Raw genomic sequence first — 13,094 nt, 5'->3', positions numbered from 1 at the left:
TCACACCTATAATGCCAGCACTTTGGGAGGCTGAGGCGGGTGGATCACCTGAGGTCAGGAGTTCGAGACCAGCCTGGCCAACATGGCAAAACTCCATCTCTACTAAAAATACAAAAATTAGCCAGGCGTGGTGGCATGCGCCTGTAGTCCCAGCTTCTTGGGAGGCTGAAGCAGGAGAATCACTTGAACCCGAACCCGGGAGGCAGAGGTTGCATTGAGCCAAGATTGCACCACTGCACTCCAGCCGTCAAAAAAAAAAAAAAAAAAAAAAAACCTAAAGACAAGGACAACAGTGCACTACTTATAGGTGAATAATGATTCAAATAATTCCAGATTTCTCGCTGGAAACCATGGAGGCCAGAAGTAAAATGACATTTTTTTTTTTTGAGAGGGAGTCTCCCTCTGTTGCCCAGGCTGGAGTGCAGTGGTGCAATCTCAGCTCACTGCAAGCTCCGCCTCCCGGGTTCACACCATTCTCCAGCCTTAGCCTCCCAAGTAGCTGGGACTACAGGCGCCCGCCACCACGCCTGGCTAATTTTTTTTTTTTTTTTGTATTTTTAGTAAAGACGGGGTTTCACCGTGTCAGCCAGGATGGTCGATCTCCTGACCTCGTGATCCACCCACCTTGGCCTCCCAAAGTGCTGGGATTACAGGCGTGAGCCACCGCACCCGGCCCAGTAAAATGACATTTTTTACAGTGCTGAAAGAAAATAGTTGTCAACACAGAGTGAAATATCCAGTGAAAATATCCTTCACAAATGACAGGTTTTTTAAAAAATAAATGAATAAATAAAGGACATCTCAGGCAAGAAAAACCATGATAATTTACTGTCAACAGACCTACTCTAAAAGAAGTGCTAAAAGAAATTCTTTAGACAGAAGGAAAATGATACCACAAGGAAATGTGGAAGATTAAGAATGAAGAAAGAGCAACAGAAATGTTAAATATCTGGTTAAGTATAATAGACAAATCTCCTCTTGAGGTCTTTAAAATATGTGTGACAACCAAAAGCAAAAGTTACAACAATATCTGATGAGGTTTTTATTGTATGTAAATGTATTAGATAAGACAACTATGACATAGATTGTGGAAAATAAAGAGATGCATATGGTGGCAAGATTCTACATTTCACTTTGTGTTGGGGTCCCTACAACCACACTCAGGTTCACTGATTTGCTAGAAAGATTCACAGAACTCAGAAAAGCTGTTAATGATCATGGTTACGGCTTATTACAGCAAAAGGATACAGATAAAATCAGCAAAGGTAAAAAATGCATGGGGCAGAGTTCAGGAGAAACCAAGAGCAAGCTTCCAGTTGTCTTCTTAATTTTCCCCACAATGATGTGTGAAAACACATATGGCTGACTGCCAACCAGTGCCAGGATTTGGTGTCCAGGATTTGTTTTGGGGGTTGGCCACATAGGCATGAAACATCCATATGACAAACCTTACTCAGTCTCCAGCTTCTACAGAGGTCAAACGGATACAACGTGGACAAGGCCCCAGTCATAAATCACACTGTTGGCATAAACTATCTGGCAAGGCCCAAGGCCCAGGTATACAAAGATACTTCTATCAAACAGGATATTCAAAGGGCTTAGAGATTACCTCCCAGAAGCTGGTCAAAGGCCAGTCCTTTTTTGGGAATGTTCAGGCCTTGAACATTGCAAGCCTGCTGAATTAATCCTTTACTGAACATACTTGAAGAGGTATAATATTGATTCTAAGTAGAATGTTATGAGTTATGCTATTATATATTATTATGATGTTATTATAATCCCTAGATCAACTACTAAAAAGAAATACCAAAAAACGGTCAAAGACAAAATGAACAAATTAAATAGAATACTAAAATTTGTTCAACTATCCCCAGAAAAGAAGCTGAAAGGGAAATAGAGAAATAAAAATCAGAGGAAAAACAGAACACATATAATAAAATAGTAGGTTCAAATTTAGATATTTCAATAATTACATGTAAATGCTAAATTAAGTGTAAATATTCTAACTATATCAATTAAAAGACAGAGATCAGAATGGATATAAATGGATTTAGAAGTCAATAAAAACATGAGATCACATGTTGCCTACAAGAAATGCACCACAAATATAAAGATATAGGTATGTTAAGTAAAATAATGGAAAGAATATACCATTCAAACACGAATTAAAAGAAAGCTGGCATGGCGTTATTAGTAACAGACAAAGTAAATGTTAGAGCCAGGGATAAAGAGACATTATACAATGATAAAAGGGTCAGTTCATCAAAAACACATAACAATCCTAAATGTGTATGCACCTAACAACAAAGCAGGCTGGACGCAGTGGCTCACACCTATAATCCTAGCACTTTGGGAAGCCAAGGTGGGCAGATCACCTGAGCTCAGGAGTTTGAGACAACCCTGGGCAACGTGACAAAACCCCATCTCCATGAAAAATACAAAAATTAGCCAGGCGTGGTGGTGCACACCTGTAGTCTCAGCTACTTGGGGGGCTAAGGGCAGGAGGATCACTTGAGCCTGGGAAGTTGAGGCTGCAGTGAGCTGTGTTCACACCACTGCAATCCAGCCTGGGTGACAAAGTGAGACCTTGTCACAAAACAAACAAATGAACAAGTAAAAAACATAAAGCTTCATGAACTAAAAAGTGAGAGAACTAAAAGAAGAAATAGATACATCCAAAATTATAATTGGAGACTTCTATACTTCTCTCTCGCTAATCAACAGAACTAGTAGATATAAAATTAGCAAGGATATAGAACAGAACAATACTATCAACCAACTAAATCTAATTTCATTATAGGACATTTCATTCGACAGGTAGATTGTACATTTTTTTCAGATACTTATGAAACATTCACCAAGACAGAGTGTATCCTATAGATTTCAAAGAGTTGAGTCATGCAAAGTATGTTCCCTGACTGTAATGGAATTAAGCTAGAAATCAATAATAGGAAGATAACAGGAAAATCTACAAAACACTTGGAAATTAAACAATATACTTCTAAATAATCCATGGGTCAAAGCGGAGTTATCAAGGGAAATTAGAAAATATTTTTAACTGAATAAAATAAAACTACAATATATCAAAAATTATGGAATGAAATTAAAGGAGAGCTTAGAGGGAAATTTAAAGCATTAAATGCTCACATTAAGAAAGAAGGTCTCAAATTAGTTCATTTAAGCTTCTACCTGGAACAAAATAAATCCAATGCAAGCACAAGGAAGAGGATAAAAAAGTTAAAAGCAACAATCAATGAAACGGAAAAAAGAAAAACAGTAGAGAATATTAGTGAAACAAAGAGGTAGTTCCCTTTAAGAGATCAATACGATTGATAAGTTTCCATCAAGACTAAAAAAGAAGATCAATAAAACGGATAAACCTGATATGGTCTGGATTTGTGTCCCTGACTAAATCTCACGTAAAATTGTAATCCCCCTGTGTTGGAGGAGGAGCCTGGTGGGAGGTGATTGGATCCAGAGGGTGGATTTCCTCCTTGCTGTTCTCGGGTTAGTGAGTGAGTTCTCACGAGATCTGGTTGTTCGAAAGTGTGTAGCACCCCCACCCTCGCTCTCTCCTCCTCCTGCTCCAGCCGTGTAAGGCATGCCTCCTTCCTCTTCACCTTCCACCATGATTGAAAGTTTCTTGAGGCCTCCTCAGCCATGCGTCCAGTATAGCCTACAAAACTGTGTGAGCCAATTAAACCTTTTTTCTTTATAAATTACCCAGTCTCAGGTAGTTCTTAATAGCAATTAGAGAACAGACTAATACAAACTTCTAGCAACACTGACAAAGGAAAAAACAGAGAAGTCACAAACTACCAACATCAGGAATAAAAAGGGTGACATACCGTAGAAATTAAAAGAATAATAAGAGGATGTTGCAAACGATTCTACACACATAAATTCAATAACAGATAAAATGGAGCACTTCTGCAAACCACAAACTAACAACTCACTCAAGATGAAATAGAAAACCTGGGGAAAATTGAATTAGGAGTTAAAAATCACCTGAAAAAGAAATCTTCAGGCTCCAGGTACTTAATTGATGAATTCTACCAAAACCATTAAAGACGAAATGGCCAGGCATGGTGTCTCACCTCTGTAATCCTAGCACTTTTGGGAGGCCGAGGCTGGTAGATCACTTGAGGTCAGGAGTTTGAGACCAGCCTGGCCAACATGGTAAAACCCTGTCTCTACCAAAAATACAAAAATTAGCTGGGAGTGGTGGCACGCACCTGTAGTCCTAGCTACTAGGGAGGCTGAGGCAGGAAGATCACTTGTAACCCAGCAGGCAGAGGTTACAGTGAGCCAAGATCGTGCCACTGCACTCCAGCCTGGGAGACAGAGCAAGACTCCGTCTCAAAAAAAAAAATTAAGAAATAACACAGATTCTTTTTTCTTTTTTTTTTTCTGATGGCATCTCACTCTGTCACCCAGGTTGGAGTGCAGTGGCGCAATCTTGGCTCTCTGCAAGCTCCGCCTCCCGGGTTCACGCCACTCTCCTGCCTCAGCCTCCCAAGTAGCTGGGACTACAGGCACCCGCCACCACACCCGGCTAATTTTTTTGTATTTCTAGTAGAGACGGGGTTTCACCATGTTAGCCAGGATGGTCTGGATCTCCTGACCTTGTGATCCGCCCGCCTTGGCTGGGATTACAGGCATGAGCCACCGCGCCTGGCGAAATAATACAGATTCTAAACAAACTTTCCCAGAAAATAAAAGAGAAGGGAACACTTCCCAACTTATTTTATCAGGCCAGCATTACTCTGATACTAAGTCCAGACAAAGATATTACAAGAAAATAAAATGATATGCCTTATGAATATTTTTGCAAAAACACTCAATAAAATATTAGCAAATTTAATCCAACAAGATATAAAAAAGAATAACATACTTGTTCAACATGCAAACATCAATCAATGTAACCCATCATTATGACATTCTAAAGAAAACCACATGATCCTATCAATGTATGCAAAAATATCACTTGGCAAAATTCAATATTCATTCGTGATTTTAAAAACTCTCAGCAAACCGAAATAGAGTGGAACTTCCTTAACCTAATAAAAGGTATTGTCAGTGGGCTAAATTGTGTTACCCCAAAATTTATGTAATGCCCTAATCCCCAGTACCTCAGAATGTGACTGTGTTTGGAGACAGAACCTTTAAAGAGGTAACTAAATCAAAATGAGGCCGTTAGGGTGGACCCTAATCCAATCTGACTGTCGTCTCTATGAGAAGAGGAAATTTGGACAAACAGAGAAGCACCAGGGATAAGCCCGCACAGAGGAAAGACCATATAAGGATATAGCGAGAAGGAGGCCGTCCACAAGCCAGGAAGAGAAGCTCCAAAGAAAATAAACCTGCCTACACCTGGTTCTTGGACTTCTAGGCTCCAGAAATGTGAGAAACAAACTTCTGTTATTTAAGCCACTCAGTTGATGGTACTTTGTTATGGAAACCTTAGCAAACTAATACAAGTACCTACAAAATATCTACAGCTAACATTATATTTAGGGATGAAAGGCTGAATGATTTTTCTCCCAAGATCAGGAATAAAGCAAGAATGTCTGCTGTCATTGCTCTAGTGCTTACGAAGAGGAGAGTTCAGGTGATTTATCAAGGTAGCCCATTCCAGAGATGTTATCTCCTCAGGTCAATACCCCCCAAGACCAACTACACACACACACACACACAAACACACACACATATACACATACACCTGTTATCTGGATGTCTTAGTTAAAACTAATTTTCACCCACAATATCAAAATAGTTGCCTCAATTCACTTTAAGTGTCCAGAAGCAGCTTGGGCATAATGAGGAAAACGGACAGGGAATCAAATTAGCAGCAGGATTATGAGGTCTGCATAAAAGAAAACTTAAAAAGGAAAGAAGAATTTCAGGGCACTCATATATGAAAATTACAGCCTGCACATCCCTGCAGTGTTATAAAGGGTCAGAGTGCATTTGATGGAGCTTTCTAACCATTATGTTCTCTGGTCATAATATAATATCTGTATTCTAATTAAAAAGGAGAAAAGGATGATTATTTAAAAAGCATAAAGCTTCTTAGAAACCTCAGTTTCTGGCATTTATTTGAAGGTTTCTACTCTCCCCACATATAATGTATCTGAGCAATTTAGAACTATATCTAACAGGCTCCACTTCACATCTACTCTTGCAAGAAAACGGTTTCATGCAAAATGTGAAAATTGCAGCCGGAGCCATTATGTAAGCTACTTAACCTATAGTAGGGGAGGTCTACATGCTATATGTTGCTCTGGATTGTCATGGAAAAAAAAGGTTCAAAAGAAAATAAGGATTATGTTCTGAGGCTGTTTTTCCCTGAGGCTCTTTAAACAATGCCTCTATCTGTTCCCCATTTTCCAATTGTCTTTTCCAGAGATGTGGCAATAATTTAGTTGTATTATGTGCTGTCACTTCTGCATTAATAAACACCAGGACCTGCTGAGTAATTACAGAATAACCTCATAATAAAATGCAGTGAAGAGCTCTAATTAAATGTTAATGTTGCTTAAAACTATCCTACTTTAAAATGAAAATTTTCCATCCATGTATCCTAATGAGTTATCAGAATGCATTACTCCCAAATAAAATGTACAAACGAGAAGGTAAACATAAAATATTACCACCAGTAGGCATGTGTGTGGAAACATTTATAATCAAAATTAATATACTACATTAAAATTACTGAAATATAAATGCATACCAAAATGCTGTAACAACAATGGGGGAAGATTTTTATGAAAGCTCATGCTTCACTTTGAAAGGGAAAAATGCCAAATTATTCTTCAGTCACGTAGTAGGCAATAGAGGTTAAAGCTACTTCTGAACATGGGACTAACACAAGTTAAACTAAGAACATCTACAACTTCTATAAAATAATAGAGCTAAAAGAAAACTCACTGTCTAATTGAAGAAACAAGGACTTCCATTTACTTTATTCTTTAAAATCTGCCAAGAAGGGGTTCCCCTCCCATATTATGTTGCTCTGCTTCTTCACCCACACATCATCCTTCTGGGCATTTAGTGTGCTGACCTAGGTAGACATGGTGAAAATCTATTACTCATAGGTATCTATATAAACCCATTACTCTTTTTGTTTTTTGTTTTTTTTTTTTTTGAGATGGAGTCTCACTCTGTCACCCAGGCTGGAGTGCAGTGGCACAATCTTGGTTCACTGCAACCTCCGCCTCCCATGTTCCAGCGATTCTCCTGCCTCAACCTCCCAAGTAGCTGGGATTACAGACGCCCACCACCACACCCAGCTAATTTTTTATCGTTTTGGTAGAGATGGGGTTTCACCACATTGGCCAGGCTGGTCTCAAACTCCTGACCCCAAGTGATCCACCCACCTCGGCCTCCCAAAGTGCTAGGATTACAGGCGTGAGCCACTGTGCCCCGCCCAACCCATTTCAATTTTCATATCACAGGAAGAAAGTCACAATCATTCCTCCTTCCTTTACATTGCCGGAATAAACAAGTCAATCCATTTAGTCTTTGGAAAAGACCTATCCCCCAACTCTTCTGCCATTATCTGCTGAAATCTGCTATACATTCATCTCACATTTCTGTCAAACCACTTATACTGCTACTTCTCATAGGCCTAATTAATATTCTTTCATGTAATCAGTCTTAAAATACAATCACAAACCTAGTATAGTATTACCTAAAGAATTCTGCAATATGTATTCCTGTTTTGTACTTCCTGTTAGCTTACTCTTTTTCTCCAAGATGAAAAACTAAGAAAAGTTTTATCATTGACAAATTTGAAATCTTTGTTTCCATTACCAGGCTCTTGCGTTATTAGGGATATGTGCCCACTTCAGTGACCTGAGTCCTGGATATCTCCCACACTTGACCTTCCAAGAAGTGGAATCCCTCACACCCACTTATAATACAAGCTGTTGATGCTGCTATTGATAAAGATATTTGTTTACTGCTGACTGTGATGAGATATGTTGGGACCTTTTCTTCCCAGTTTACACCAAATACATAGAAGAGGTGACTTTTCCTAGCGTTCCTCAGATTCTCTTTGGCCATGGCTATGTCTCTTTGGAACAAGACTAGATGCTCTAAGAACTTCTGCTGAACAGCTTGTACAGCCCGAGAGGAGAAGGAGGGAAGGCAAGGAGACATCCAGGGCCTGGCTGAGACATCTCATGTTCTCTCCCATCCCTGGGAACTTCCCATCTGTGTGCAGGGGATTGTCTGTGTCATGAAGAACCAACATGGCACTGACCACCAATCAGTCACCAGACACCACAAAGAGTTGTCGGCAAATGGCGAGACCTCCCCTGCTGCCCCTTGGAGAACAGGAAATAGAGTCACTCGGCAGTTTTCAGGAGGATAATACTTCAGGACACAAGCTTTGGAGTCAGACAGACTTGAGTTTGCATCTCAGTTCTGATGCTTGCTAGTTGTGCCCCCTTGAGCAGTTTGCTTAATCTCTCTGAGCCTCCATTTCATCATCTATGCATTGAGAATAATGCTCACCTCACAAGATTATTATGAGAAATAGGTGAGCAATATATGACAAGCACTTGGCATGCTGAGTGATTCAAGTATTTAATTAGTGGAAGCTGCTATTATTACTACTACCGCCTCTATTAATGGTGTCTTTCCCCGCAAGTAGCAACACCTCCTGGCTTCTATAGTAACACTGATGTTCTTACCTTGAAAAACTTTCAAGTCATCTTGGCCTCTCCCTCAGTCCCCACATCCAAAGTCACCAGGTCTTATCAATCCATCCTCTCCTTTGCATCTCCATTGCCACTCCTCTAGTTTATAGCTTCACTAACTCTCACCTTGACCTTCACTCAGTAAATGTCTATTAAAGCACCTACTGTGTGCTGGGCATGGTGTAAAATACACACATGTAAAATATCTCAAAATATGTATAATCTGGTGGTATGGCAAGGAAATACAGACATTTAGACAGGTAACCAGAATGCAAGGCCAAATGAAACAGCATGGAATATTTAGAAAGGTTTCACATACATATGATTCAACAACAACAAAAAAGATGTACAGGAAGGTTTCACAGAGGCATTGCCCCTTGAGGGGAAACTTGAACAATTAATAAAAAGAAGAAAAAAAAGGCATTACAGTCTGAGAAAACAGCATGAGCAAACACAAGACCTCAAGAATTATGTCACGTGGAGAAAATGCTGAGTTATACAGTGGGACCAGAGTGGGTGGGGAGGACAGAGCCACAGCTGAAGTCGGAAGCAGTCAGTCAGGGGAGTGGAGTGCTTCCAATTCCCCTTCAATGTGGATTCCTCCTGCCTCAAGGTGGATTCCCCTTAAAAGTCTGCCTCCTCCCCTAAAGGCTGTACAGCTATAGACAAAGTACTTACCTTCCCTGAGACTCATTTGTAAAATGCAGACAACAAAATACCTACTTCATGCTGTTCTTGAGGGGATTAAATGAAATAATGTAGGTAAAGAACTTTACACAATGCCTAGACTATAGTAGGCACTTCACAGATGGTAGTTACTGTTTTCCTAGGAAGCTGTCATGGACTGAATGTTTGTGTTTCACAAAAATGTGTATGTCAAAGCACTAACCCACAGTCTGGCTCTATTTGGAGATGGGGCCTCTATGGAACTAAGGTTAAATGAGGTCATAGGGTGTGACCCTGGAGTCTTGATTCAAAAGGATTAGCCTTTATAGAAAGAAACACCAGAGAGCTTGCTCTCTCTCTCCATGAGCACCACCAAGTAAAGGCCACATAAGCACACAGTAAGAAGGTGGCCATTTGCAAGCCATCTGCCCTCACCAGAAACTGAACTGGCCAGAACCTTGAACTTCTAGCCTCCATAACTGTGAGGAAATAAATTTCTGTTGTTTAAGCCCCAAGTCTATGGTATTTTATTATGGCAGCTCAAGCTGACTAGTACGGAGGCCTTGAATGGCATTTTAAGGGGTTTATTCTTTATTTTGTGGACAATGGAGATGCCTTAAACATTTCTGAGAAGGCAAGAATTAACATTTATATCTGACTATCTGAGAGTTGAAGAGTAATGGGGATGTCCTCTTTACTGACCTCCTGCACCCTGCCCCTGCCTCTTCCCATCCATTCATGACAACCAGTCTATGATTAATATCTCCAATATGGCTCAGATGAGCTGCTCAAAATGTTGGCCTATAGAATACAGCCTGGATCCCTTAGTTTGGCATTCAAGCTGGGAAGATCAGACCCTGGCTTTTGCCACATTTGTGTCTTTGCTCAAACTGTTCCTTCCACCAATAATATTATTTCCTACTGTTTTCAGACAGAATCCAATTTATCCTTTAAGACCAATGCCCATGCCACTTGTCTTATGATGTCTCCTCTCCACTGAACCCCTACCGTTTATGCCTCTAGCATGTCACGGTGGTCAACCTCTCTATTCTAAATAATGTTGTTTATAGCTCCTCTAGTAGACTGTAATGACCTGAGGTCAATTTTTGTGGCTTTCACATTACATGGCACAGAAAAGAATTTGAAGGAGGTATGAGGGAAAATCTATAAAGCAGGAGAGAAAAACATTAGGCTTACATAGGAGAGAGACAGTCTGGAAGAGAAGAGGGTTTTTGAGAGCAAAAACTCTTATTGAAAGGAGAATTAGAGTCACTTGATGTGGGTGTGCATTGTGAAACAGATGAATTTCCCTGCACCCCAATTCCCTACAGAGTCTCCATCTCCATTATACTCCCATACACGTGAATTCTCTGAAATTCCCATGAGATACTAGATGGGAAAGATGGTTATTGGGTGACAATAATCATAATCATAGTTAACATCTGTTGAAGACATACCTGGTGCCTGGCGCTGGGCTACAGTACAGGTTTTCAGTATTCCATATGTTATGTTCTTTTTTAGTCCTGAAATGCCTGTCTTTCTGTTGATATAATGTGGCCATTTAAGTGTTCTTTTCATCTGAAATTTTATTCAGAGATTTATCCAGAGGATTATATGCTGCATTAAAACAATGAGTTCAGTCAGGGAGCATTCATTTAGAAAGTTTCTAACCCTATCCCTCCTCTGTTTAAGACTAATATTAAGACCCTTACTTAAGACTCAGGCACTTACATCACTGTAGTTTTAATTCCAACTTTCTGGCTTACTAATGAGGAAAAACAACTTTTATTTTGATTTTGAAAACATCTATTAAATCCCTATAAAATATCTTGGTTTTTTTAAAAATACATCTGAGATAATCTTTCCCTACACATATTTTAAAAACCTTAAAACCTTTTCCTTTTTTTAAAATGTTTTATTTCCATACGTTTTGGGGGGAATGGGTGATGTTTGGTTACATAAGTTCTTTGCTGGTGATTTGTGAGATTCTGGTGCACTTATCTCCAGAGCAGTATACACTGAACCCACTTTGTAGTCTTTTATCCCTCACTCCCTTTCCACCCTTTCCCCTGAGTCACCAAAGTCCATTGTATCATTCTTATGCCTTTGCATCCTCATAGCTTAGTTCCCACTTATGAGTGAGAACATACGATGGACAAACAACTTTTTTATGTCATTAGTCATTTCTATATTTGCACCCCAGTCTATCAGAGTCACTGGTGAAAACTGGCAAAGGGTGAAGGAGAACTCAGAGAGGAAGAGGCTAGGTGCCCAGGATTAATCCCAGCCCTTGGCATGGAGCCTGCCTGCCTCCTTTTTCCCAGGACCCAGTTCTGTCTCCTTCCCTCCCCTCTATTCCTCCAAGGCCAGCCCCAACCTTTCCTAAGATTTTTATTTTATCTAAAAACTTCCCAATAATTCTACTTGGAGATACTTAAGCCAGGAGGACAAAGGATACACAGTCACAAGCCTGGCGTACTCGCAAGTGAAACAACACCCAGAGACAAAATTTATTTTTAAATAAAATATGGAGATTTCTGGTTACATGAAATAAATATACAAATTACCAGTATTCTCAATGGGCTTCGATGTGTGCAGTTAGTAGCCATGCCCTTTGCTGAGAACTCTACTTGCATTATCTATGTCAGTCCTCATGGAGGGGGGTGCTGAATAATTACTATCTATCTCCTTTAGCAATGGGAAGGGTAGGAAGTTACCCTGGGTAGATGGCGCAGGACACTGAGAGTCCTGTTTTAATTTTGACACAAGGAAAAGAGATTTTGCTATATGCCCTCAGCTAGCTTAGGTAGGAAAGGGAGAATCTCCCTTCTTATTTTAATCAATATGTGACTGATTTAAAGGAGCCTCAGAGGCCTTTAGCACTAACAAGGCCCAATCTCTAGGAATTTAAGAATGACAGTGAGTCTGGCACTGTGAGGAGCCTGATGCATGATACCACCGGGGCGCTGAAAGAACACGGCTTATATCACATCTCACACCCTGCCTAGAGAAAGCCACTTTTATTCTAGGCCAAATTCCAAAGTGAAACTGGCAATGGATTTGTTATAATGTTAAAGTTAAATAAAATTGTTCCCAGTAATACAATCACTTTCCTGCTTTTGAAATCTTTATTGTTTGTTATTACAAAAGCAAATAAAACACACAGAGACTGTTGCTGTGCACACCTGCAGTTCTTATTGCAAGCTCCCCCAACCCTCCCTGAGGGCTTTCTCTAGCAGCAGAAATTAGCTCACTACTGTGCAGGGCAGGCAGGTGCTGCCAGGCTGTAAGCCAATCCCTGTTCCCCCCATAACGAATGGGAGATGGAGGGTAAATTGCCCCTCGGGTGGGACAACCTGAGGTGTGTTCTACACAGTTTTCAGAGGCCCCCAGTGGAATGCAGATCCAGTTGCCCCCAGCAGTGACCTGCTCTGAAGTAGTTTCCTTCCTTTCCCTCTCCCTTCACCTCTGTCATCAGGGCTTCCTGGGATCACCTCCCAAATAAACTACTTCTGCATAAATCACTATATACATCTGAGAAAGCCCAACTCAAGACAATTGCTGTAGTTTGAATATATATACATACATATATATATATGTATGTATATATATATAGTTTGTTTGTTTGTTTGTTTGTTTTGGAGATGAAATCTCACTCTGTCGCCCAGGCTGGAGTGCAGTGGTGCGATCTCGGCTTACTGCAACCTCCACCTCCTGGGTTCA

General features: G+C 40.2%; 1 long non-coding RNA gene across 1 annotated transcript in view; it reads right to left on the bottom strand.

The window, feature by feature from the left end:
* The window catches only part of LOC101927575 (uncharacterized), a 31,159-nt gene extending 20,244 nt beyond the window's left edge, over positions 1-10,915 (bottom strand). Inside the window, exons 1-2 of the long non-coding RNA NR_110995.1 lie at positions 10,829-10,915; positions 6,931-7,063 (exon numbers count right to left, since the gene is read on the bottom strand). This is a non-coding gene — a long non-coding RNA (uncharacterized LOC101927575). The remainder of the gene's footprint in view (positions 1-6,930; positions 7,064-10,828) is intronic.
* Positions 10,916-13,094: the final 2,179 nt, after the last annotated feature.

This window comes from Homo sapiens, chromosome 9 (genome assembly GCF_000001405.40).
Source record: "Homo sapiens chromosome 9, GRCh38.p14 Primary Assembly".
NCBI lineage: Eukaryota > Metazoa > Chordata > Mammalia > Primates > Hominidae > Homo > Homo sapiens.
The sequence above is the reverse complement of the archived record's forward strand: the minus strand, read 5'-3'. Positions and strand labels throughout refer to the sequence as shown.